Below are 26,300 nucleotides of genomic sequence, written 5' to 3' on the forward strand. Positions count from 1 at the left end.
AGGCCGTGTTCCATCATTAGTAACATCTCTCTTTGTGGGAATAGTGGTGTAATTGTGGACAGAAGTTCATGTTGAGTTCTATTTATAGCTTCTGGTGACTCATTAATATGTTACCTTAGCAAAGGGTAGCTCCAGAGCCAGCCTTTTATTACTGTATTAGTCAAAAACATTCTCACTGGGGTATTCTGATACAATGAAAAACAAACTGTAAAACACTTCTAGCAATTTGCATGTCAGCCTTTTAATTGGTGTGATATTAGCACCCTTGCACGCTTTATTGGAAGCTACAGTTGTCAAAGGTACCCATGTCTACAAGTGCTTACCAACATGTAGGTTCTGTGTTAAGGGAAAGAAAAAAGAATCCACTTGTAGTCTTCTGAAGAGTTAAACTCTCAGTTGATCTGGAAAATATGTTAACCAACCTTCAAAAGTATTTTCGCTCCCGGAAGTCTTCAAGCCCTCTGTGACTATGCCCTTTGTAACATTTTTACACATGTGACCTTCACACTCACCACTTTGATTCCAACAGCGAAGTCGAAGTCGTGGTCAGGAGTAAGACTGAGCTGGGTAGAGATAGTAAGGTAAGACTTTGAAGCTGCTGTACTTTTATCAATTCAGTCTGAAAAACAGTCTCTGTGGTTAAGCCCATTAAATCTCTTGTGCTTTCATAGCAGCTTGGCTAAAGGTTATTACTATGAAGGCTGGAGGGAGAGTGGGAGATAACTTCGACCAGAGAGCTCTCACTGAAATGGGTTCAAAGGAGTTACTCATCTTCTATTCCCTTTAGCGGAACCTCATAATCGGATAGCACTTACTCTGTGCTTTGTTAAAAATATAGCATACAGGCTGGGCACAGTGGCTCACGCTTGTAATCCCAGCACTTTGGGAGGCCGAGGTGGGCAGATCATCTGAGGTCAGGAGTTCAAGACAAGCCTGACCAACATGGAGAAACCCCGTCTCTACTAAAAATACAAAATTAGCCAGGCGTGACGGCACATGCCTGTAATCTCAGCTACTCTGGAGGCTGAGGCAGGAGAATCGCTTGAACCTGGGAGGCGGAGGTTGCGGTGAGCCAAGATCACACCATTGCACTCCAGCCTGGACAACAAGAGCAAAACTCCGTCTAAAAAAAAAAATGTAGCATACAATGAAACTACCAATATCAAGTGCTAGCAAGGATTTGGAGCACTTGATATTTTTAAGAATTTTCTTACATTGCTGACGGGAATGCAAAATAGTACAGCCACTCTGGAAAACAATTTGGCAGTGTGAAAGGAAATTAAATCTTGGGATCCCAAACTCATTAAGCCAAAGGGAAAAGTCAAGCTGGGAACTGGGTCACACAAACCTGCTTCCCCATTTTTGGTTCCTAAATAAGATGGCTACAAGATGAAAAGCTACAAGCTTCCCCCATATTTTGCCCACAAGGAAATTCCTTGTGAGCTGCAAGATCTTCTAAGGTGTTTCTGTTAAAATTTCACCATGGCAATGTAAACTGATCCTTATCTTTATGGATGCTGTCACCCCTGGCCCACCAGACACAAATGCATATCAGATTGTTCTCCTGGCCCATTTTCGTCTATGTTATCTTATGGAAAATGCAGATTCCCAGCCGGGCGTGATGGCTCACACCTGTAATCCCATCACTTTGGAAGGCGGAGGCTGGCGGATCACGAGGTCAGGAGTTTGAGACCAGCTTGGCCAACATAGTGAAATCGCGCCTTTACTAAAAATACAAAAAGTTAGCTGGGCGTGGTGGCAGGCGCCTCTAATCCCAGCTATTTGGGAGGTTGAGGCAGGAGAACTGCTTGAACCTGGGAGGCAGAGGTTGCAGTGAGCCGAGATCGTGCCATTGCACTCCAGCCTGAGCGACAGTGCGAGACTCTGTCTAAAAAAAAAAAAAAAGCAGATTCCCTGCATTTTTTCCTCTGCCCCATTTGTCTATGTCATCTTATGTAAAAACCGCAGATTCACTGAGCCAGACAAAGGCATGAATGGCTATTTTTCCTTACCCTGCTCTTACATGAAAATTGTATACATCTCAATATCCTGCCCTTTCCCCTTTAAATTTGGAGCCCTCAAAATCATCTTCAGAGAAAGGCATAGACCTGTCTCCCAGGTGTGCAGCCTTAACTTTGGCAAAATAAACCTCCTAAAATGATTGAGACTTGTCTCGTCATTTTTCTTGATTGACAGCAGTTTCTTACAAAGTTAAGCATACACAAAGCATGTAACATAACAATCTCACTCCTAGGTATTTACTCAAGAGAAGTGAGCAGGGAACGGTATGAGGTAGGTACAGAGCATTCAGGCAGAGAGGACCACCTGCAGGAGAGTGACAACTCTGAGGAGGTGAGGAGACAAGGCATTGTCGTAGATGGAAGCTTATGGGGAGGCAACGAGATGAGGCTGCAGGCTGGGCTTTGTGGGCTGTGGTAGGGATTTTGGTTTCTATTCTGAGAATGATGAGAAACCATTAAAATGATTTAGGCAAGAGGGTGACATAATCAGATGTACCTTTTTAAATGATCAACCTGGTTGCAGTGTGGAGAGTGGACTGGAGGGAGGCAAGTATGCCCAGGGAGGTCATTGAGTTGTCTGGGAGAATTCCTGATGGGGCTTGGGATAGGGCTGTAACCTTAGAGATGCTCTCTTTTAATGCCCCAAATACCCCTAGGAAGGTTTGCACTGATGGCTTTTTTTTTTTTGAGATGGAGTATCTCTCTGTCGCCCAGGCTGGAGTGCAGTGGCGCCATCTCGGCTCACTGCAAGCTCCACCTCCTGGGTTCATGCCATTCTCCTGCCTCAGCCTCCCGAGTAGCTGGGACTACAGGCGCCCACCACCACGCCTGGCTAATTTTTTGTATTTTTAGTAGAGACGGGGTTTCACCGTGTTAGCCAGGATGGTCTCGATCTCCTGACCTTGTGATCTGCCCACCTCAGCCTCCCAAAGTGCTGGGATTACAGGAGTGAGCCACCATGCCCGGCCTCACTGATGTCTTTTATATAATAATATTTCTAGTAGAATCAAGAATAATGAATCACTTCTTTTCAAATACAGATTATAAAATACTCCATATATAAAAAAGAATTTATGTGATATTAAAGGAAATTAAATACCATAAAAAAAATCAGGACTTTCTTTCCTTTCTTCCTTTCTCCCCTCCCCTCCCCTTCCATTCCCTTGGGGTCTTGCTCTGTTGCCCAGACTAAAGTGCAGTGGCACAATCTCGGCTCACTGCAACATGCGCCTCCCAGGTTCAAGTGATTCTCCTGCCTCAGCCCCCCGAGTAGCTGGGATTACAGACAAAAGGCATGCCACCACACCTGGCTGATTTTTTTATTTTTCCTAGAGATGGGGTTTCACCATGTTGGCCAAACTGGTCTTGAACTCCTGACGTCAAGTGACCAACCAGCCTTGGCCTCCCAAAGTGCTGGGATTACAGGTGTGAGCCACCACACACGTCCCGGTATCAGGACTTTCTAATAGTTACAGCTTGTAAGCATTGGAAGAGGCTGGCTTGGGAGGTGACGGGAGGCCATGCTGTTGACAATTTGTGTAAGGGTGTGGAAGAAGGATTCCCAGGAGAGGAGAGAGGTTGGGTAGTTGACTGCAAAGGTGCTGATCCTAAAATCCTCTGCCACAATGCAACAAAAAGCAAAAATATTTGTTACAAGCAAAGCTCTTAAGGGGCATTTGAAAACCTGGGGTGTTGGTTTCTTAAAATCAAATGTGGAATTGTAGCTCCTGTTTTTGGTGAGTCCTTTGATTTTTGGAACATGTAAGATGGAACCATGTGCATACATATACTCACTTATATAGCAATAAATGTGGTGGAGGTATTTTAATTTCTTGAGTCCCAGAGGTATTGGGTTAAGAGCAGAGTGAGAGATTGGATAAGGAGATGGTTGCAACGATTCCTTTTTCTATTCCACAGAAGCAGCTCACAGACTATGACTTGTGGGCCAAATGGCACTTGTTTTGTATGACCCATGAACTAAGAATGTTGCTTACATTTTGTTTGATTAAACTTTTAAATTTGAGGCCAGGCGTGGTGGCTCACACCTGTAATCCCAGCACTTTGGGAGGCTGAGGTGGGTGGATCACCTGAGGTCGGGAGTTCGAGACCAGCCTGACCAACATGGAGAAACCCCATCTCTACTAAAAATACAAAAAAATTAGCCAGGCATGGTGGCCCATGCTTGTAATCCCAGCTACTCGGGAGGCTGAGGCAGGAGAATCGCTTGAACCCAGGAGGCGGAGGTTGCAGTGAGCCAAGATTGAGCCATTGCACTCCAGCCTGGGCAACAAAAGCGAAACTCTGTCTCAAAAAAAAAAAAAAAAAAAAAAAACCTTTTAAATTTGAGGTAATTCTAAATTCACTTGAACTTATAGAAGATACATTACAGAAAAAAAACAGATAAAATATACTTCATCAAAATTAAAAATTTTTGTGCATCAAAGGACACTATCAACAGAGTGAAAAGGCAATTCACAGAATGGGAGAAAATATTTGCAAATGGTAATCCAATAAGGAGTTAATATCCAGAATATATGAAGAATACTTATAAATCAAAAACGAAAGTCAAACAACCCTATTAAAATATGGTTAAAGGACTTGAATAGACAGTTCTCCAAAGAAGATACATTAATGGCCAATAAACAAATGAAGAGATGATAAAGACAAATAATCATTAGAGAAATGCAAATCAAAACCACTTCACATCCATTAGGGTGGCTGTCACCAAAAATAACAAATGTTGATGAGGATGTGAAGAAGTGGGAACGCTTGTGCCCTGCTGGAGTATGTAAAATGGTGCAGCTGCTCTGGAAAACAGTATCACATTTCCTCCAAAAATTAAACACAGAATTGCCATATGATCCAGCAATTCCACTTCTATCCAAAAGAATTGAAAGTAGGGACTTGAGCCGGGCGTGGTGGCTCACACCTGTAATCCCAGCACTTTGGGAGGTCGAGGCGGGCAGATCACCTGAGGTCAGGAGTTCGAGACCAGCCTGGCCGACATGATGAAACCCCAATCTCTACTAAAAATACAAAAATTAGCTGGGCGTGGTGGCAGGCACCTGTAATCCCAGCTACTCGGGAGCAGGAGAATCCCTTGATTCTGGGAGGAGGAGGTTGTAGTGAGTTAAGATCGCGCCACTGCACTCCAGTCTGGGTGACAAAGCAAGACTCCATCTCAAAAAAAAAAAGGAAAGCAGGGACTTGAACAGATATTTATACAGCAATGTTTATGACAGCATTATTCACAATAGCCAAAAAGTGGAAACAGTTTAAATGTCCATCAATGGATAAATGGAAAAACAAAATGTGGTATATACATACAATGGGATATTATTCAGCCTTAAAGAGAATGAAATTCTGATACATATTACAGCATGGATGAATCTTGAATACATTAAGCTAAGTGAAATAAACCTGATACAAAAGGACAAATATTGTGTGATTCTACTTATAGGACGTGCCTAGAGTAGTCAAATTCACAGAGACTGAAAAGGGGCTGTGGGAGGGAAAATTGAGGAGATATTATTTAATGGATACAGAGTTTTATTTTGAGGTGATGTAAAAGTTCTGAAAATGGATGGTGGTGATGGTTGCATAATAATGTGAATGTATTTACTGCCAGTGGATTATAAATTTAAAAAAATGTTAAAATGATAAATTTTATGTTACGTATATTTTACCACAATAAAAAAGAAGTAATACAGAGAGATCCCATGTGCTCTTTACTCAGTTTTCCCCAACGGTAACATCTTATAAAATTATACAATATAATACACAACCTGCCAGGCGCAGTGGCTCACACCTGTAATCCCAGCACTTTGGGAGGCCGAGGTGGGCAGATCACCTGAAGTCAGGAGTTTGAGACCAGCCTGCCTAACATGGGGAAACCCCGTCTCTACTAAAAATACAAAAATTAGACAGGCGTTGTGGCACCTGCCTGTAATCCAGGAAATTGACAGTTATATAAACCCAAATCTTATTCAGACAGCCTCAATTTTACAGGTACTCATTTGTGTTTATTTTAAAATTATTGAAAATGATAAAAAGTAATATTTTGTGACACATAAAATTGATATGAAATTCAAATTTCAGTATTTATAAATAAAATTTGATTGGAGCATAACCACATTCCTTCATTTATGTATTTTTTCTTTTTTTTTTTTTTTTTTTTTGAGACAGAATCTCACTCTGTCACCCAGGCTGGAGTGCAGTGGCACAATCTCTGCACCTCTGCCTCCTGGATTCAAGTGATTCTCCTGCCTCAGTCTCCTGAGTAGCTGGGATTATAAACACATGCCACCACACCCGGCTAATTTTCATATTTTTAGTAGAGACGGGGTTTCGTCATGTTGACCAGGCTGGTCTCGAACTCCTAACCTCAGGTGATCCACCTGCCTCAGCCTCCCAAAGTGCTGGGACTACAGGCATGAGCCACCGTGCCCAGCCCATTTATGTATTTTCTATGGTTACTTTTGTGTTGTAGTGACAGAGTTAAGTAGTTGGGACAGAAACCTATAAAGCTTGAAATATTTATTATCTGTCCTTTATAGAAACAGTTTGTTGACCTCTGTTCTAGAGTACAATCAGCTGCCAAAAAGAAAAAAAAAAGGTTGTGAGTATAAAATTACTTAAGGGAAATGACTGGATAACGTGTTTAAATTTGGGCAAATGAATCATAATGAAAATGGTAAATTGTCAAGAGTGGTATTTATGAAACTTAGGTTGGTGCTACTTGGCCTTGCTGGGAACTTTGATTGTTCCCAAGATGCATTTGCTTAGCTCTTCTCACCAGGGCGAGTATTGAGTATTGTGCTTTTTGGTTCCCATGCCTTTGTACCAATGGATATGCTTTGATGCAAGTAAAAGAAAACATGACTAAATGTAGTTTAAATTTAAAAATTTATAATACCCCTCATTACAATTTTAGAAGAGAGGGGATTCTGGAGCTGCTTAATTCAACAGCTCAAAGATGAGATCAAGGACACAGGTTCTCTCCACTCTTCCGCTCTGCCATTTGCAGCTTGTTCTTAGGTTCACATCCCATGTCCTCAGTGTGGCTGTGGTAGTTCATCATGACCTAAGAGTGGAAGAGGGGAAGAGGCCTGTCCTTTTCTTCGTGTTCCATTGTAACGTGATGTGATGAAAATTATTCCAGAAGTTCCCTACAGACCTCCTTTCTGAGTTAGTTCCCATACCTCTTCTAGCCTTAGTAAGGGGACTAGAATACCATGATAAGGCCTAGACTAATCAGAATTCATCCCTAGATAGAAAAGGGGGCCAGGCCCAGTGGCTCACGCCTGTAATCCCAGCACTTTGGGAGGCCAAGGCAGGTAGATCACCTGAGATCAGGAGTTCAAGACCAGCCTGGCCAACATGGTGAAACCCCGTGTCTACTAAAAATACAAAAATTAGCTGGGCATGGAGGCACGTGCCTGTAATCCCAGCTACTTGGTAGGCTGAGGCAGGAGAATTGCTTGAGCCTGGGAGGTGGGGGTTGCAGTGAGCCAACATCGTGGCATTGCACTCCAGCCTGGACAACAGAGTGAGATTCCATTTCAAAAAAAAAAAAAAAAAGGTAAAGGGCCCAATATTTCAGAAACACACAGAGTTATCTAATTCTTGAACGAAACTGGGATTTTGCTAGCAAAGAAAAATGTGGGGGGATGGATGTGGTGGCTCACACTTGTAATGCACTTTGGGAGGCTGAGGCAGGTGGATCACCTGAGGTCAGGAGTTTGAGACCAGCCTGGCCAATATGGTGAAACCCTGTCTCTATGAAAAATACAAAAATTAGCTGGGTGTGCAGCATGTTCCTGTAGTCCCAGCTACTCAGGAGGCTGAGGCAGGAGAACCGCTTCAACCCGGGAGGCGGAGGTTGGAGTGAGCTGAGCTCCTGCACTGCACTCCAGCCTGGGCAACAGAGCAAGACTCCATCTCAAAAAAAAAAAAAAATGTGGGAGAATGAATGAATGTGGGAGGTAAAAAATGGTGTCTGCCATAGCCATAACTTGATGTCTGCAACCTCAGTTGTGGCGTTCACCATTTTCACTAAGCACAGGTGTGTAAAAATGATGTGCATATATTATTATTTTATTTTATTTTTGAGATGGAGTCTCGCTCTGTTGCCCAGGCTGGAGTGTAGTAGTGCCATCTCGGCTCACTGCAACCTCCGCCTCCTGGGTTCAAGCAATTCTCCTGCCTCAGCCTCCCGAGTAGCTGGGACTACAGGCACCCGCCACCACACCTGGCTAATTTTTTGTATTTTTAGTAGAGATGGGGTTTCACTGTGTTAGCCAGGATGGTCTCAGTCTCCTGACCTCGTGATCCACCCACCTCGGCCTCCCAAAGTGCTGGGATTACAGGCGTGAGCCACCTCCCCCGGCCTGTGATGTGCATATATAAATGAGGAAATCTAAATGACTAGACTTCCTTTCTTTTTTCCTCCTCCTTCTCTTCCTCTAAAAACTGCAAGCCAACATGATGTGTCTTCTAGGGGCATGAGAGATGGAGAAAGAAAGCCTCAGCTACCATGAGACTTTGTTCAGTGCTATGATCTGAATGTGTTTCTGCCAAATTCCTATGCTGAAATCCTAACTCCCAAGAAGATGGTACTACAAGATGATTGGAAGGTGATTAGGTCATGAAGGCTCTGCCCTTATGGGATTAGTGCCCTCATAAAAGGGGCACCAGAGAGCTAACTGCCTTACCCTTTCTCCATGTGAGGACGGAATGAGAGGGCGCCCTCATCCAAACACTGAATCTGCTGGTGCCTTGATTTTGGACTCTACAGCCTTCAGAACTGTGATAAATAAATTTCTGTTTTTTATAAATGACTCCATCTATAGTATTTTGTTATAGCAGCTTGAAAGGACAAAGACGTTCAGTTTAAATCATGAATACAGACCCATTTGTACCAAAAATTAACACAGCAACAAACCTTTACTGAACACCTATGATGGGCCAGCTTTTGGGGACATAGCAGTTAATAAAATAGAAAACCCCCCAACCCCTATGGAGCTTACATTCTACCAGGCAGATTCAGTGTATTAATCTCTAATGTGCCAGTTCACTATCTCCTTCCATCTGAGTCTTAAAAGTATTTTTTTTTTCTTTGAGACTGAGTCTCCCTCTATTGCCCAGGCTAGAGTGCAGTGGTGCAATCTCAGCTCACTGCAACCTCTCCGCCTCTCAGGTTCAAGCAATTCTCATGCCTCAGCCTCCCGAGTAGCTGGGATTACAAGCACCCGCCACCATGCCCAGCTAATTTTTGTATTTTTAGCACAGACGGGGTTTCACCATGTTGGCCAGGCTGGTTTCAAACTCCTGACCTCCAGTGATCCGCTTACCTCAGCCTCCCAAAGTGCTGAGATTACAGGCATGAGCCACTGTGCCCAGCCTTAAAGTACTTTTTTGGATGTTGACTTTTCTTTCTTAGGTGATATAATGTAGTAGTAGTAATCTCAATTTGTGGGTGGAAATAAAACACTTAGATCATTCTGGTTTATGCAGAATCTCAAATTTACCCACAGCCAACCTGCCTCCTCTTTTGGAAAACAGGAGAAAAAAATCCGAGAAAGGGAACGCTGATTGAAATAAACAAAGAGGGCCGGGCGCGGTGGCTCACGCCTGTAATCCCAGCACTTTGGGAGGCTGAGGCGGGTGGATCACGAGGTCAGGAGATCCAGACCATCCTGGCTAACACGGTGAAACCCCATCTCTACTAAAAATACAAAAAATTAGCCAGGCATGGTGGCGGACGCCTGTCGTCCCAGCTACTCGGGAGGCTGAGGCAGGAGAATGGCGTGAACCTGGGAGGTGAAGCTTGCAGTGAGCCGAGATCGCGCCACTGCACTCCAACCTGGGCGACAGAGCCAGACTCCGTCTCAAAATAAATAAATAAATAAAAGAAATAAACAAAGTGGATCAGCGGTATCAATGAGAAGGCTTCTAGGAGAGTGCAGCTGGAGTGAGTACAGGATGCTCTGAAAGGCGTTTGGGGGCTGAACACTTATGTGATAGGGGCACAGGGCAAAAGGACATTAGAACGAGAAATTCAGGGGTCATGGTGAGACTGTTCTCACTCTGACTTGAATCTGAAATCTTGACTAAGGGAGAAGTTTGAGATGGGGGCTAGTGAGGTTGGACCCTCCAGAGGAAGACTGGCTTGACCCAGGTTAACCCAGTGACTCATTCCTCTGCTAGGCCACTGCTTTCCCCACCCTAACGTCTGTCCTTGCCTGCTTCTTCCAGGAGGTCTTCTGTGCCCACAAACATAGCTCAAGTCTTGAAGCACATCCAGGGGGTTTGAGCCTCCCCCTCCCACGGTCAGAATCTCTTTCCTGTCTGAATTACTTGAGATGCCACTTGTAGGGCCAGAGTGCCTTCACACTCTTCCAGACTTGAGAACCTTCCCTGAAACTTCATTTGTATCCACTTGAACCTGGGTACACGGGATTGATATCCTACGTGCAACTGGGATCCTGCAGGTGCCCTTAGAGCATCAGGGCTTTATTAGAAATGAGGGTGGGGAGAGATACAGGGAGCGTAGATTCTGAGTGTGGCAAAGATGGGTTAGAAGCAGTTGTCATCATTAATATTCTCTGAGGTTAGTGACAAAATGCTGGCACACTTGACACTCCCAGTGAGCAGGCAGAAGTATGAGTGTGAACAAGGCAAGTGGGAAGGAACAGGCAGATAACATCAGGTCACAGTCACCTTCTTTCTTTCTTTATTTTTTTTTTCTGAGACGAAGTCTTACTTTGTCACCCAGGCTGGAGTGCAGTGGCACAATCTTAGCTCACTGCAACCTCTGCCTCCCAGGTTCAAGTGATTCTCCTGCTTTCAGGCTCCTGAGTAGCTGGGTTTACAGGCACCTGCCACGACGCCTGGCTAATGTTTGTATTTTTGGTAGAGATGGGATTTCACCATGTTGGCCAAGCTGGTCTCGAACTCCTGACCTCAGGCAGTCACCTTCTTTCAAAATCTTTTTTTTTTTTTTGGTGTGGTATGCAAAGATTTTTTGCTACAAATCCAGATACCCATGATAAAACTATAACCAGAAAGCCTTTATGAATGGTTTATTAAATCATATCCCTACTCTCTCAGGAAAGGATATATAAAATGTAACAACATATCAAGAATAATAATTAGAAATAAAGGAATAAAATGGAGTCAGGAATGTGACTACAAAAACACACCATAATTACTAGGCATGACCTGGCTGCAGATTTAACTTTGGGCTTACTAACAAACAATTCAAAGTGAGAACTGTGGCTGGTTATACAATTCACATAGTTGATAAGATTAAAAGGCCAGTGGCCCAAAAGAAGTACAATCATTCCTGGAACGAAGACTAGAAAAATTCTTTGGAGAGCCCCTGGGAAAAAGACAGGGTGAAATGTTGAGTAACGTGCTCAACTATATCCTTAGAGGAGATTCAGTGACAAGCTCTTTCTAACAGCATCTCTTGGTCTGGCAAATTCCTGGGACAGGGTGGGTAGAGGTGGTGGTTTCTTTGAAGTATCGGTCTGTGTCCATAACTTTGAAGAACCACAAACATACTGCCAGTTTAGGACATGTCAATGTTTTAGTAAGGAAAAAATATAACAGTCTATTTTCTAGTAGAAAGAGAAAGCCCTCCCTTCAAAGCCCTAATATCACTGATTCCCTGCCAACACACACACACACATACACACACACACACACCTCTAAATGTTCAATCCATAGCTTGGCTGAATGAAGGAAATGTTTTAATGTAATATGGGAGCCACCAATTAAGGAAATGAGGACCTGAGAGTAGGCAATAAATTGAAATTAAAATTATTCATTCTTAAATAATGGTGGAGCCAGATTTTATGTGAGGCCTGAAGCTTATACAATTTTAGGCGCTCTCTTTAAGGAAAAGAACATACAGTTCTGAACATAAAAGATGGTATGAAAATAAATATATGGAAAGAGGAAATAAATCACAACAAATGACTGGAGCCACAGAGATCTACATCCTTTTCTTCTGAGATTAAGTACTTTACCAGAAATGCTTACAGAGAAACAGTTCCTGATTGTAACCTGCTATCCCTTTCCTACCAGCAACTAACCCCCAGCACTAGCGGGGGCCTGTGCAAGTGAGGCCCCCCACCTAAGCTTAAGTTTCATTAATTCACGGCTATGTAGAAAATCGTCTCAATTCCCATACCGAGTCCATCATCATTTCCTAGAAGACTAAGCCTCTTCCTTCTCCTTGATACTGCACACTTTGAACTGCTGTTGATAAGATCCCAAATAAATCAATGCCTTTATTTCTTTGAAAATGACTTCATATCCATCTGGAAGAAATAATAGCTCCCAGTCTCATTCTTTTTAAAGTGATCATGTGTCCCCATTCAGCATGCAGGGCTCTAAATTTGGGTATCCTTGGCTGTCATGTGACAGAATTTCCCTAGAAGTGTTTTGGGACTAAACGGGAGGAATGTGAGATTTGCTCTGTTTTGTAAAGCAAACAGCAGGAAGTTGGGAAAGTCTGATAAATCTGAATGCATTTTCTGTACTATCTTGTCCTCTATTCAACTCAATTTTATTTTTTCTTCTTGGATGAGGAGCCATAATCAGGTTTCCATTGACAACCTGTGAAAATGTTGACTACAGTTTTGTAACTGAGTTGAAAGCAGAAAAGCCAGATGGAAAAACAATCTCCAACCTGAAAAGTAAAAAGCAAAATGTACTTCTAGAAAAATATTGCACGTGACTTGGAGAAAAATTAGAATAGGATCTGCCTATTTTAAAATGAAACCTCAAGCATGTGGTTTAGGCTTAGGGTGTTTCCTCTTTTTTTCTTGTAATTTTACTCTGAGATTGAAGCAGTGTTGGCATATTTGCCACACAATAGGTTTCCTGTAGTAGGAGGAAAGAGTCATAGGTTGAGTTTATATGAAAAAAGGCAAGGCCCGCTGATGATCATTTAACACAGAATGTAAAATGATCAGATTTTTTAAAAGTAAAATATCAGTTGAACGTAGGAAGATTCCCCAATATGCTATGGTGCCTTGTAGTAACTGAGTCCTTGCAGCTGCTTCCTGGCAGTGATTCCCTCCCAGACCTCCAAAAGGTTGTATGTGCTGGGGAACCAGGTAAGTGTGAATACCCAGTAGGGACAGGGCTCTGATCCAGGGCTGGAAGGCAGCGCCTGGGATCCTCAGGGCTGATTTAACAACCTTCTGATCCATGGGTCTCTGGGGAAACATTTTAGAATTGACATCTTTGCTTGGAGACCACAGAGCTGCCGATAAGAACATAGCAAGCTTATCCACAAATGTGTTTTTATAGGAAATTTTGTGTGGGAAAGAAATGGGGAGGAATATACAAGAAGAAAAGAAAGAAGGAAGGGAAAGCAAACTAAGCTCAGGTCCAACGTAGGGAGAAGAAACACTTGTTAATTGTTTTGAGGCATACAACTACAATGAACTCTCAGTAAGTCAGAATAGTCTCAAAGAGATCTGATCTGAATTAAAATGTAAACTAGACAATAATTTTAAAGGTAAATATAAATTTATTATTTTAAAGCATACTCCTTAATACTTAAATAGCTGAGAAAACAAGTAGAAATCCTCCTGGGATTGCTCAAATGCCTTAAGGAAAAAAATTGTAATGAGGACAATTAATTGTTCTTATCTAAATAGGTGCTGCTAAAACTACTTTAAGTATTTGAAAACTTCGTTTCCTTAAGAAGCTAAACATGATTTCAGCATTTGCTTTGCAAATCTTATTTTTCAAAATATTGCTTTGGCAGATTTTGGCTTTCTACTGAAATTATAAATTATTCTGTACTCTTTTAGCAGGGTGAGAAAGAATGTGGTCTTATTCCATGTGGGATAGATTAGTATACTGTAGCCATATATGTACTAGGCTCTGTACTGATGTCTCTCTTTTTTTTTTTTTTTTTTTTTGAGATGGAGTCTCCCTCAGTCTCTCAGGCTGGAGTGCAGTGGCGCCATCTCGGCTCACTGCAACCTCTGCCTCCCTGTTTCAAGCAATTCTTCTGCCTCAGCCTCTCAAGTAGCTGGGATTACAGCGCCCCCACCACCATGCCTGGCTAATTTTTTTGTATTTTTAGTAGAGACAGGGTTTCACCATGTTGGCCAGGCTGGTCTCAAACTCCTGACCTTGAGCGATCCACCCGCCTCAGCCTCCCAAAGTGCTGGGATTACAGGCATGAGCCACCGCGTCCAGCTTGGATTTCTATTTGTGTTTTTTTTTTTGGCATATGTTTTTTGAGATTAAAAATTTTTTTTGAATTGGTAAAACATTTGAAAGAAATTGAAGAAACCCAGTAAAACATTTAAAAGAAATTAAAGGGCATGAAGTGAGATGTACATAAAATAAGTCTCCTTTCCATTCTTGTTCCCTAACCTTTTTCCCCAGAGTCCCCCATGGCTCACCAGTTTCTTATGTGTGCGTTTTAAGATATTGTGCTGAACATTTAAGATATAATATCTCATTTAATCCCATGTGGTAATTGACTACATATTGTCATCTTCATTTAATAGATGAGGTAACTGAAGCACAGAGCATACTTGCCCCAGATCACAAGGAAATAAGAGAACCAGGATCAGAACCCGTGCCAGTGCATCACTGCTTTACATCCTCCGCATTATCTTCACTCCAGATGGCCACAAAGCCTGGTCTCTACTTTCTTGTCCCCACCCCTCTGCTTGTTTAAATTTGACTCATGCTTTAAGGCCTTGTTTAGAATAATGACAGCATTTACTGAGTGCTCACTATGTGCCAGGCACTTACATACACTATCTTATTTAACCTTCATAATAGCCTTAGGAGGTAAGTAAGTATTATTATCTCCATTTAAGAGAAGTGAAGCTGAGACTTAGAAAGCCACATAGCTAGTAAGTGGCAGCGTAACACTGCCATGCTGGTCTGATCTGAGGCCCTAACCTCCCACCTCCCGCCCATTCACTCACAAGGTTCTCCCCAGTTTGCAGTGATTTCACTTCTAGGAATAGCCTTAGCACTTCTTATCACAAACCACGATGGTATTTGCTTGCAAATTTTTCTGTATTGTTCTTTGGCAGTTTAACCTCCTAGATTCTTCTCTTTCAACCTTGCTGTCCACTCCTAGAAAGCAGACTCTATTTGTAATGCTCAATCATAATGCAATTGTACAAATCCTACTGAGACCTTACAAAATAGAACAAGAAAATGGACTAATGAAAATGGAACTCTTTAAACTTCAGTCTGGAATTACATCATTGGCATATTTAGCTTTTGAAAAACCAAATATATGTGCACTAGAATAAGTGAGAGAGGAAAAAGGCAACTTGGTGAGGTGGTACTGTCTGCCATTGCTCTCCAAGGCTCATGCCCCAGGGTATGCACCAGGAGGCTGGCACCTGCCTTTGCTGGATGGGCTCTCCATTCCATGGGTTCAGAGTACCTAAGTACCTGTCTCTGAGTGTGACTCTATTGCTTCAAGATGAATTTCTCTCTCTCTCTCTCTTTCTCTCCCTTCCTTCCTTCCTTTCTTTTTTTTTTTTTTTTTTTTTTGAGACAGAGTTTTGCTCGTTACCCAGGCTGGAGTGCAATGGCACAATCTCGGCTCCACAATCTTGCAACCTCCACCTCCTAGGTTCAAGCGATTCTCCTGCCTCAGCCTCCCGAGTAGCTAGGATTACAGGCGTCCACCACCACACCCGGCTAATTTTGTGTTTTTAGTAGAGACAGGGTTTCTCCATGTTGGTCAGGCTGGTCTCGAACTCCTGACCTCAGGTGATCTGCCTGCCTCGGCCTCCCAAAGTGGTGGGATTACAGGGGGTAAGCCACCGCACCCAGCCTCTCTCTTTCTTTCTTGTCTCACTCTCTTGCCCAGTCTGGAGTGCAAGGTACAATCATGGCTTACTGCAGCCTCAACCTCCTGGGCTCAAGTGATCCTTCCACCTCAGCCTCCTGAGCTGCTGGGACCACAGGGGCATGCCACCATGCCTGGTTATTTTTTATGTTTTGTAGAGATGGAGGTCTTGCTATGTTGCTCAGGCTGGTCTGGAATTCCTGGTTTCATGCGATCTTCCTGACTCAGCCTCCCAAAGTGCCAAGATTACAGGTGTGAGCCACCACGCCCTGCTTCTTTTTAAAAAATACAACATTGGCTGCAAGGTGGCTCATGCCTGTAATTCCAACACTTTGGGAAGCCGAGGTGGGAGGATCACTTGAGCCTAGGAGTGCTAGACCAGCCTGGGCAATATAGTGAGACCCAGTTTCTACAAAAAATTTTTTAAAAAATTAGCTGGGCATGGTAGTGCATGCTGGTTGTCCCAGCTTACTTAGGAGGCTGAGGGAGGAGGGTTGCTTGAGTCCAGGAGTTTGAGGCTGTAGTGAGTTATGATCATGCCACTGCACTCCAGCCTGGGAGACAGAGTGAGACTCTGTCTCTAAAACAACAACAACAACAACAACAACAACAACAACAACAACAACACAGGGCAAGCAGGACATGGAACTAGGTTCAAATACTGGAAGAAACTCTGACTCTATATCTTACTTTTAGGGAAATTAAAGGGATCTTAAAATTGAGCATACACATTTTTTACCTTTAGGACCTAACCCAATCTAAGGTGGCTGCATTTTACCTAAAGTTGAAGGATTGTCCCTAGCCAGAAAAGCTTCAGATCCCTTTAGTTCACATTCCAACATTGGGAAAATAAACTTGAAAAGTATTTTCCTTAGCAAAGAAAGATCTGGGTGTGAAACAAAGTTCATTTTGTTTTGTTTTGCTTTTTTCTTGATCATCAGTCTCCAGTGCCAATGTCTCAGTTTGCAGACTAACTGTAATCACATGTGTGGCCTCTCCTTAGGAGAAACAGTAACACACTCTCTGATGGATCAATTTGGCATAAACTGTGAAGTAAAAGGGATTCCATGCTGGGTGGAAGGTTGGACCAGAAGTTCTCCAAGTTTCCTTTCAAACCTCTCTGTGGCAGTATTCCAACTGTTCTAAGGCCATTGTGAAAGGTCTTCTGAGTAATTTATGGCCTCTTTTTTCCTTTAACCAAGCGCATTAGATGATCTCCAGATGTCTCTGTTATTCCTTTTGGAAGCAGTAGGGTCCTGGATCATGAGCTGGGCTGTGGGGAACGCTGCCTGGGAACTGTGAGGACATATTTAACCTGCTGATCTTGAATGTCTCTAGTTCCTCACTGGTCTTGCCTGCCTCTTGTTAGGTCAAGGCACTCATAGGAAGTGGATTAGTTGCATTTAAGGAGAATTAAGTGTTGTTTGAAAAAATATCTGGACCCTGGGGCCCCAAGCAGGGGTAGAGATTTACTGTGGAGCTCTTTCCTGAAAGCAGAACAGGGATCTGGAACTCAAGGCCAGGGCCTTTGGGTTAGGAAAGTGGGGCACCAGGATGGGTGAAGAGATTGGCTGGGGAGGGCTACCAGCCCCTGCCTTAAACTTTGGGCCTGCCCAGCAGTCTCTCTGTCACTGTTAAGGCCATCTTCACCTTGTGGTGACCCAGTTTTGTCTTTTCTGAGAAAAGGCTTTGTTGAGGCCAGGCGCGGTGGCTCACGCCTGTAATCCCAGCACTTTGGGAGGCCGAGGCGGGTGGATCCATGAAGTCAGGAGATCGAGACTGTCCTGGCTAACACTGTGAAACCCCGTCTCTACTAAAAATACAAAAAATTAGTCGGGCGAGGTGGTGGGTGCCTGTAGTCCCAGCTACTTGGGAGGCTGAGGCAGGAGAATGGCGTGAACCCGGGAGGCACAGCTTGCAGTGAGCTGAGATTGCACCACTGCACTCCAGCCTGGGCAACAGAGGGAGACTCCATCTCAAAAAAAAAAGAAAAGAAAAGAAAAGGTTTTGTTGGCCAGTGACCCCTATACAGAGACCCTCAGAAAACTTGTTCTCCCCCTCTCAGATTTTACGCCACTCCAGGGGTGTATTAAGCTAGGTTGCCACCTCCTCTGATGACTCTCTTTCCCGTATCCCCTTTTCCACGTGTTCTGCTTGCCCTTCACAATAAACTGTTATCTCCTGAAGAAAAAAAAACTGGATTTTGCCAGGGGAGGTGGCTCATGCCTGTAATACCAGCACTTTGGGATGCTGAAGGAGGATTGCTTGAGGCGAGGAATTCAAAACCAGCCTGGGCAATAAAGTGAGACCTTATCTCTACAAAAAAAAAGTTAAAAAATCAGTGGGGCATGCTGGTGTGCACCTTTAGTCCCAGCTACTTGGGAGGCTGAGGTAGGAGGATTGCTTGAGCCCAGGAGGTTGAGGCTGCAGTGAGCCATGATCATGCCACTGCAATCCAATGGGTGACAGTGAGACCATGTCTCCAAAAAACAAAACAAAACAACTTGGATTTTATTCATCCCTCCATTCTTGGCTCTGAGCCTGGCCCATAGTCCTGTAAATTGGTGTTGGGGATCTGCCCGGGGACCTGTATGGGAACTTTCCCCATCTTCCTATATTGTCCTTGACTTTTTTGTTTATTTGTAACTTTTAAGATTGCACATTTTCAAATAAACAGAAAGTATACAGAATAGTATAATGAATACCCCTTTATCCAGATTTCCCTTGATTGCAACACTTGCCATATTTACTTCATCTGTTCTTTTTGCCCAAATATTTAAAAGTAGATTTCAGATATAATGATGTTTTACCCCTAAATACTCATGTATGCATCTCTAAAATAAGGATGTCTCCCCACAGAACCATAATACTGTATTCTATATTATTATCACACATTATTACACCTAATAAAATAAATAATAGTTCCTAGCCTGGGCAACATGACGAAACCCTGTCTCTACAAAAAATAAAAAATTAGCTGGGTGTGGTGGTGAGCGCCTATAGTCCCAGCTACCTGTGGGGCTGAAGCAGGAGGATCACTTGAACCTGGGAGTTCACTGCAAGGCTGCAGTGACCCATGATCACACCACTGCACTCCAGCCTGGGGGACAGAGCGAGACCTCGTTCCCATAAAGGAAAATAAGTAAGTAAATTAATTAATGTAATAGTTCCTGGCTGGGTGCAGTGGCTCATGCCTGTAATCCCAGCACTTTGGGAGGCCAATGCAGGCGGATCACTTGAGCTCAGGAGTTCGAGACTAACCTGGACAACAGTGAAACCCTGTCTTTAAAAATACAAAAATTAGCCTGGCATTGTGGCGCGTGCCTGTAGTCCCAGCTACTCTGGTGGCTGAGGCAGGAGAATCACTTGAACCTGGGAGGCAGAAGTTGCAGTGAGCCATGATCGTGCCACTGCACTCCAGCTTGAGCGACAGAGCGAGACCCTGTCTCAAAAAAAAAAAAAAAAAAAAAAGTTCCTAAATATCAACTGCCCTCAGAAAGTCTTTTATAACTGGTTTATTCAAACCAGAATCTTCTCAGGGGCAACACATTGCATTTAATTGTTTTGACTCTAGTTTTTCTTCCCCTTTTCCTCCATGCTATGTTATTGACTCATTGAAGAAATCAGGCCAGTACTTTTGAAAGTCCCATTTTCATGGTGCTATTTAAACTTCACCAGACTCCTAAGGTAGAGCTGACTTAAGGAAACATCATAGCCACCACCGTGGGAGTCTCCTCCACTCTAGGAACCCTCCATTTCTTTCTTTCTTTCTTTTTCTTTTTTGAGATGGAGTTTCGCTCTTGTTGCCCAGGCTGGAGTGCAATGGTGCGATCTCGGCTCACCACAACCTTCGCCTCCTGAGTTCAAGCAATTCTCCTGCCTCAGTCTCCCGAGTGCTTAAGAACCCTCCATTTCTATCCTCCTCTTTGCTCCCATCATCCAGGAGCAAATCCCCAGGGCATTGAAACCCAAGGCTAAAGGCTCCTCTATCCCATGCTCTCTCATCTTTTGCTTGGAGGTCCATTTCCTGGCTTTGCAGTCAGCTGGTGTGAGCTTTCCAATAAAGCAGGGCCTGGACAGCTCTCCCTACAGCTGCCAGCAACAACCTCAGGAAGCCCCAGGGTCCTTCACTTAAGTTGCTGTCAAAGCCTTTGAACTTGGGGCTCCGGGGCTTCATTATGGGTAGCAGCAAACAGGAGCCACCATTTTTCAAAATGAAGTTAAAATCCTCCCCTTCTAACTCAATACATCTCTTAAATTCATCCCAGAAAAATAACCTGTTTTCCAAGTGACGTTAGATTCAGCAGCACCACCCCTACCCTATTGCCCCTGGGACTGATGATCTCCAGGCAGATGCTTCGCACCAGTGGCTGCTCCTGCCAGTAAAAAAAAAAAAAAAAAGAAGTTTCCATTGATTTGCTTGAGAAATGTAAGTTTGGGGCTGTAGTCCCTGCCGCAAGGTCAATAGAGAATTGTCTTGCCTGAGGTGCCCCAGGAAATCAGCCAGGAAAAGCAGGGATCTACTTTTCATTTCATAGGTTAGGGAGGGGGTGGGAGGCTGGGGCAGGGAGAGAATGGAGAAGGGGAAGGTTCAGATAGCTGTGTGTTTAGATCAGAGGACTTGGGCTAAAGTCAGCAAGAAAACATGAATATTCCAACACAAAGAGGAGTGGAGTTACGCCATCAGGGGTGTGGGCTGGAAACCCTAAAAGGACAGTTGCCTCCAGCTTGACATGAGTGTCTAGCTGTTTACTTTGGCTCACTGGATTTCACTTTTTTTGAGACAGAGTCTTGCTCTGTCTCCCAGGCTAAAGTGTAGTGGCTCAATCTTGGCTCACTGCAACCTCCACCTCCCAGGTTCAAGCGATTCCCTTACCTCAGCCTCCCTAGTAGCTGGGATCACAGGTGTGCACCACCACGTGCAGCTAATTTTTGTATTTTTAGTGGAGATGGGATTTCACCATGTTGGCCAGGCTGGTCTCGATCTCCTGGCCTCAAGTGATCCGCCCACCTCACCCTTCCAAGTGCTGGGATTACAGGCATGCACCACTGCGCTTGGCCTGGATTTCTATTTGTGTGTATTTATTTTTACAAGGAAAAACTCTCCAACAGCTATGTTTCTATAGGTGGAGTAGATCACATTTTATTCTTCCTGAACGTGGTAAAATGTTTCACAGGCAATTAAGAGTGGAGAAGAGAGAACTTTATACTTTTAACTAAATTCTCAATTTATGGATCAGTTAAACCTTTTCATTTTCTGGCTCTTCCTCTTAATTCTGTTTCTTGTTTTTCCTTTCTCTCCCTGCAAGGCTCCCCTTTTTGTCCCCCACACTCCACTTTATTTTCCTACTTTTATTTCAGTGGCTGGCAAAATCAGAGCGTTATATTTGATTTTGAAAGAGTCACTATGGAAGCTTAGGCAATCTTTTTCTCTAGAACGTTGAGTAAGGTGGGTCTGAGCCTGTCCTTTTTGCAGCAGCTTAGGGAGGGTGTGTGTCCATATGTGTGTGAGTATAGGAGGGGGTGAGGGAACCCAAGGCACCCCCTCCTTGCGAGACACAAAAACCTGATCCCCAGAGTAGGGGCAGAAGGCCAGGAGTAGGAGAAGTTTCTCTGTTTACTCCTTAAGATCTGGTGGTTGGGGGCTGTGCGTGGTGGCTCGTGCCTGTAATCCCAGCACTTTGGGAGGCGGAGGCGGGTGGATCACCTGAGGGCAGGAGTTTGAGACCAGCCTAACATGGTGATACCCTGTCTCTACTAAAATTACAAACTTATCTGGGCGTGGTGGCGGGCGCCTGTAATCCCAGCTACTCAGGAGGCTGAGGCAGGAGAATCACTTGAACCCCTGAAGGCTGAGGTTGCAGTGAGCTGAGACTTCGCCATTGCACTCCAGCCAAGGCAACAAGAGCGAAACTCCGCCTCAAAAAAAAAAAAAAAAAAAGATCTGGTGGTTGGGGCATTTTGGCAAATAGCTTGGCCACCACTTTATTATATGGTTAGTTTTGAAAGCAGATTGCTGAGAATGACAATGAAAGACAGAACTTACACTTTTTTTTTTTTTTTTTTAAGTGAAAAGAGCAAGGCAACTAGTTAGCATCTTCAGGTTCTGGATAACCTGCAGTGTAGGCTTCAGGAAATTGACTAAGGGAATCTGAGAGTAGACTGCACTGGCCCTCTCTGGACTTCGACCTTTAGGTTCTTTTCCCCTTTTCCTTTGCCTCTGCTTCTCTGAGGTCAGCACTCACTTCAATAATCCTGTCCCAGGGCCACCAGATCTCCTTGAGCTTCAGAAAACCCTCCTCTCACTGTCCTTCCCCAATGTTTCAATGAATGAAGGCTCACTGAGCATACAGCAATCAAACCTGTGATCCAGGTGGCACTAGGAATTCAGCAGTAGCAGTGTGGTTCCCACACTGCTCACTGGACCTTGGCTAAGACACCACCTGGGACCACAGCTGATGGCTGGGTGTTAACACCTACCTATTGAAGAACGGAAAGAGAACAATTAAATGACAAGTTTTGTTTTTACTCCTAAGTGAAACCACAATCAGGGATAATTTGTGATTGTAAAGTTGGCACATATATCTTTTTTTTTTAAATCAGGGGAATTTTTCTTTTACTTTATAAGAGAAAATTAGAAGCCACTAGACAGGAACTCACTCAAATTCTTGCCACAAACTTACCTGCAGAGGAATTCATCATTTCCTCCTTCTCCTCCATCATAGTGAAAGAGACATCTCATTGACAAAGCCAATTCTGAGGCTCTAAATCTCTCTTGCAGCCTCATTGACATTGCTGCATTGCAAGTTCCTTTTCTCTCTTGATGCTTCACTTGCTGCTGATTCATTGCCATCAGCATTTAAACAAGCCCAAGTGTCTTCTATCCTTAAAATCTTACCCTTCCTAGCTTCCCCACCCCTTTAATTCACTTCTTTATCTGACTTGTTTTGGTTACAGTTAAGTTTATTGAAACAGGTGTCCACACTCACCACCACTTCCTTACCCTCCACCCTGAAACTCTCCTTGAAATCTGGCTGCTGCCCCAATGTTCCTCTGACACTGGTCCAGCCAAGATCACTAACAACCTTGTTGCTCAATTTTAGGCTGTTTTCCCAGCATTATCTGACTTGAGCTCTAAGTAGCTGATACCAGTGACCATGGCCTTCTTGAAAGTGTCTTCTAGCTGGGTGAGTGGCTCATGCCTGCAATCCCAACACTTGGGGAGGTTGAGGTGGGTGGATTGCTTGAGTTCAGGAGTTCAAGACCAGCTTGGGCAACATGGCAAAACCCCATCTCTACTAAAAAACAAACTGAAAAAAATTAGCCAGACATGGTGGCATGCGCCTATAGTCCCAGCTACTCAGAAGGCTGAGGTGGGAGGATCACCTGAGCCTGGGAGGCCGAGGCTGCAGTGAGCCGTGATTGTGCCACTGCACTCCAGCCTGGGTGACAGAGTGAGGCCCTGTCAATAAAAAAAAAAAAAAAAGAAACTGTCTTCCTTGGTTTGGTGACATCTATCTTTTCACCACACTTCTTAGAATCCTTTGTGGGCTATTTTTCTGTTAATATGTTCATTGTAGAATCTTTGGGAAATTAAAAAAAATAGTCTACTTGTTATCTCCACATGGAAGTCTTTCTTTCTTTTTTTTTTCTTTTTTTGAGGCAGGGTCTCACTCTGTCACCCAGACTGGAATGCAGTGGCATGATCATGGCTCACTGTAGCCTCAACCTCCCAGGTCCAGGTGATCCTCCCACCTCAGCTTCCAGAGTAGCTGGGACTACAGACATGAGCCACCATGCAGGCTAATTTTTCTTTTTCTTTCTTTCTTTCTTTTTTTTTTTTGTAGAGACAGTGTTTCCCCATGTTGCCCAGGCTGGTCTTGAACTTCTAAGCTGAAGCGATCTGCCTACCTTGGCCTCCCAAAGTGCTGGGATTACAGGCATGAGCCGCCATGCTGGCCCCCACATGGAAGTCTTAGCAGCATTTTAGAATGCGGACATCCTAAATAGAGCTCATCATTTCCATTCCCAAGCCTGCTCCCCAACTATAGTCTCTTTCTCAGTGGATGGCTCCATCCTTTCTCCTGTTGCTCAAGCCAGAGTCCTGATGTTATCTTGGACTCTTCCCTCTCCCATATTTCTCATGCCCAATCAATCATCAAGACCCATCAATTTTATCTCTTGACTATTTCCAAATCCATTTATAATTGACCCTCGAACAACACAGGTTTGAACTGTGGGGATCACTTTTACGTGGATATTTTTCAACCAAACGCAGAATGAAAATACATTATTTGCAGGATGTGAAACCCACTCACATAGAGGGCATATATGCAGGTTCTGCAGGACTTGAGTATGCACAGATTTTGGTATGGAATTGTGGAGTTCTGGAACCAATCCCCCGCGTATATGGAAAGTATGGAAGGACAACTGTACTTTCTATTTTTTTTTTTTTTTTTTGAGACTGTACTTTCTTTTTTTTTTTTTTTTTTGAGACAAGGTCTCTATCTTCCAGGCTGGAGTGCAGTGGCACTATCTTGGCTCACTGCAACCTCCACCTCCCAGGTTCAAGCAATTCTCCTGTCTCAGCCTCCCGAGTAGCTGGGACTATAGGCGTGCGCCACCATGCCTAGCTAATTTTTGTATTTTTTAGTAGAGATGGGGTTTCACCATGTTGGCCGGGCTGGTCTCGAACTCCTGACCTCAGGTAATCCGCCCGCCTTGGCCTCCCAAAGTGTTGGGATTACAGGCGTGAGCCACTGAGTCTGTTCTTTTTTTTTTTTTTTTTTTTTTTTTTTTTTTTTTTTTTGGAGACGGAGTCTAAATCTGTCGCCCAGGCTGGAGTGTGGATTGCAGCGGTGATCTCGGCTCACGGCAACCTCCGCCTCCCGGGTTCAAGCCATTCACCTCCCTCAGCCTCCCTGGTAGCTGGGACTACAGGCACACGCCGCCATGCTCGGCTAATTTTTTTGTATTTTTAGTAGAATCGGGGTTTCACTGTGTTGCCTAGGCTGGTTTCGAACTCCTGAGCTCAAGCAATCCGCCCGCCTCGGCCTCTCAAAGTGCTAGGATTACAGGCGGAGCCACCGCGCCCGGCTGCCACCGCGTCTGTTCTTACTGCTTCCGTGTTAGTTTGAGTTCCTCTCTTTCTCGCCAACTCAATTTGACAACCTCCTAACTAGTCTTCCTGACTCCATTTTTTGCCCCATTCCTTTCCATTCTTCCTACTACAGCCAGCCTCCTCTGTAAACAGTCACATCTGAGCGCGTCACCCCGCCACCCCTCTATTACATAAACTCTTTGATAGAGGGTAATCCTCAGGACAAAGTCTACATTTCTCAATGTGACCTTCAAGGATCTGCATTTTGTGTTCTTTGCTTGCCTCTTCGGTCTTTTTTCCATCACACCTATCCCCACCCCTTTCAGCCATACTGAACTAATTGTACTATTCTAAGTGCCCCTTCTCATCTCCCAGTTTTTTTTTTTTTTTGAGACGGAGTCTCGCTCTGTTGCCCAGGCTGGAGTGCAGTGGCGCGATCTGGGCTCACTGCAAGCTCCGCCTCCCGGGTTCACGCCATTCTCCTGCCTCAGCACCCCCAACAAGTAGCTGGGATCACAGGCGCCCGCCACCAAGCCCAGCTAATTTTGTTTTTGTATTTTTAGTAGAGACGGGGTTTAACCGTGTTAGCCCGGGTGGTCTCGATCTCCTGACCTCATGATCCGCCCGCCTCGACCTCCCGAAGTGCTGGGATTACAGGCGTGAGCCACCGCGCCCAGCCTCATCTCCCTATTTTTTATGTGTAGTTCTTGAAATTTTTCTTTTCCCCTTCCTGGCTAACTGAAACTCATTTGTTGGATTTCAGGTTAGAGATATGGACCTCTCTTAAAGCCTTTCCTAAATTTTAGGTGCTCCCAGGGCCCCTACCAAAAGTCTTATGCTTTATTGTCAATGCCTGCCTGCTAATGATTCTAAGCCCCCAAGGAAAGGAATATGTCTGGTTGATGGGATCATTTCCCACACCTTGCACAGTGTGCAGCACAAATAGACAAATAGTTACTGAATATATGATTGTGATTCCAACCACTGCTTGTGGGGAAAAAGTGGTTCAATGACATGGTCTGTCCTGAAACATTAAATTTTTTATCCTCACGTTCTTCTTTTTTTTTTTGAGATCAGGTTTCACTCTGTTGCTTAGGCTGGAGTGTAGTAGTGCAGTCTTGGCTCACTGCAACCTCCGCCTACCGGGTTCAAGCGATTCTCTTGCCTCAGCCTCCTGAGTAGCTGGGACTACTACAGGCACAGGCCACCATGCCTGGCTAATTTTTGTATTTTTAGTATAGACCAGGTTTCACCATGTTGGCCAAGTTGGTCTCGAACTCCTGACCTCAAGTGATCCGCCCACCTTGGCCTCCAAAAGTGC

General features: G+C 44.1%; 1 long non-coding RNA gene across 1 annotated transcript, besides 4 other annotated features; it reads left to right on the forward strand.

Moving 5' to 3' along the window:
- The first annotated feature begins 504 nt into the window (after positions 1-504).
- LOC105378976 (uncharacterized) lies at positions 505-8,857 on the forward strand. Its single transcript, XR_007058777.1, has 2 exons — positions 505-581; positions 8,500-8,857. It is a non-coding gene; the product is annotated as an uncharacterized LOC105378976 (long non-coding RNA).
- Positions 15,453-15,954: an enhancer, noted in NCBI's record as "H3K4me1 hESC enhancer chr5:55369795-55370296 (GRCh37/hg19 assembly coordinates)". NCBI's record gives its function as "activates a minimal SCP1, AML or CMV promoter by ChIP-STARR-seq in primed H9 embryonic stem cells {active_cell/tissue: H9 hESC(primed)}" and the evidence as "EXISTENCE:reporter gene assay evidence [ECO:0000049][PMID:30033119]".
- Positions 19,698-19,777: an enhancer, noted in NCBI's record as "active region_22562". NCBI's record gives its function as "activates an Ori minimal core promoter by ATAC-STARR-seq in GM12878 lymphoblastoid cells {active_cell/tissue: GM12878}" and the evidence as "EXISTENCE:reporter gene assay evidence [ECO:0000049][PMID:35858748]".
- Positions 21,087-21,851: an enhancer, noted in NCBI's record as "H3K27ac hESC enhancer chr5:55375429-55376193 (GRCh37/hg19 assembly coordinates)". NCBI's record gives its function as "activates a minimal SCP1, AML or CMV promoter by ChIP-STARR-seq in primed H9 embryonic stem cells {active_cell/tissue: H9 hESC(primed)}" and the evidence as "EXISTENCE:reporter gene assay evidence [ECO:0000049][PMID:30033119]".
- Positions 24,315-24,976: an enhancer, noted in NCBI's record as "H3K27ac hESC enhancer chr5:55378657-55379318 (GRCh37/hg19 assembly coordinates)". NCBI's record gives its function as "activates a minimal SCP1, AML or CMV promoter by ChIP-STARR-seq in primed H9 embryonic stem cells {active_cell/tissue: H9 hESC(primed)}" and the evidence as "EXISTENCE:reporter gene assay evidence [ECO:0000049][PMID:30033119]".

Source organism: Homo sapiens, chromosome 5, assembly GCF_000001405.40.
Source record: "Homo sapiens chromosome 5, GRCh38.p14 Primary Assembly".
Taxonomy (NCBI): Eukaryota; Metazoa; Chordata; class Mammalia; order Primates; family Hominidae; genus Homo; species Homo sapiens.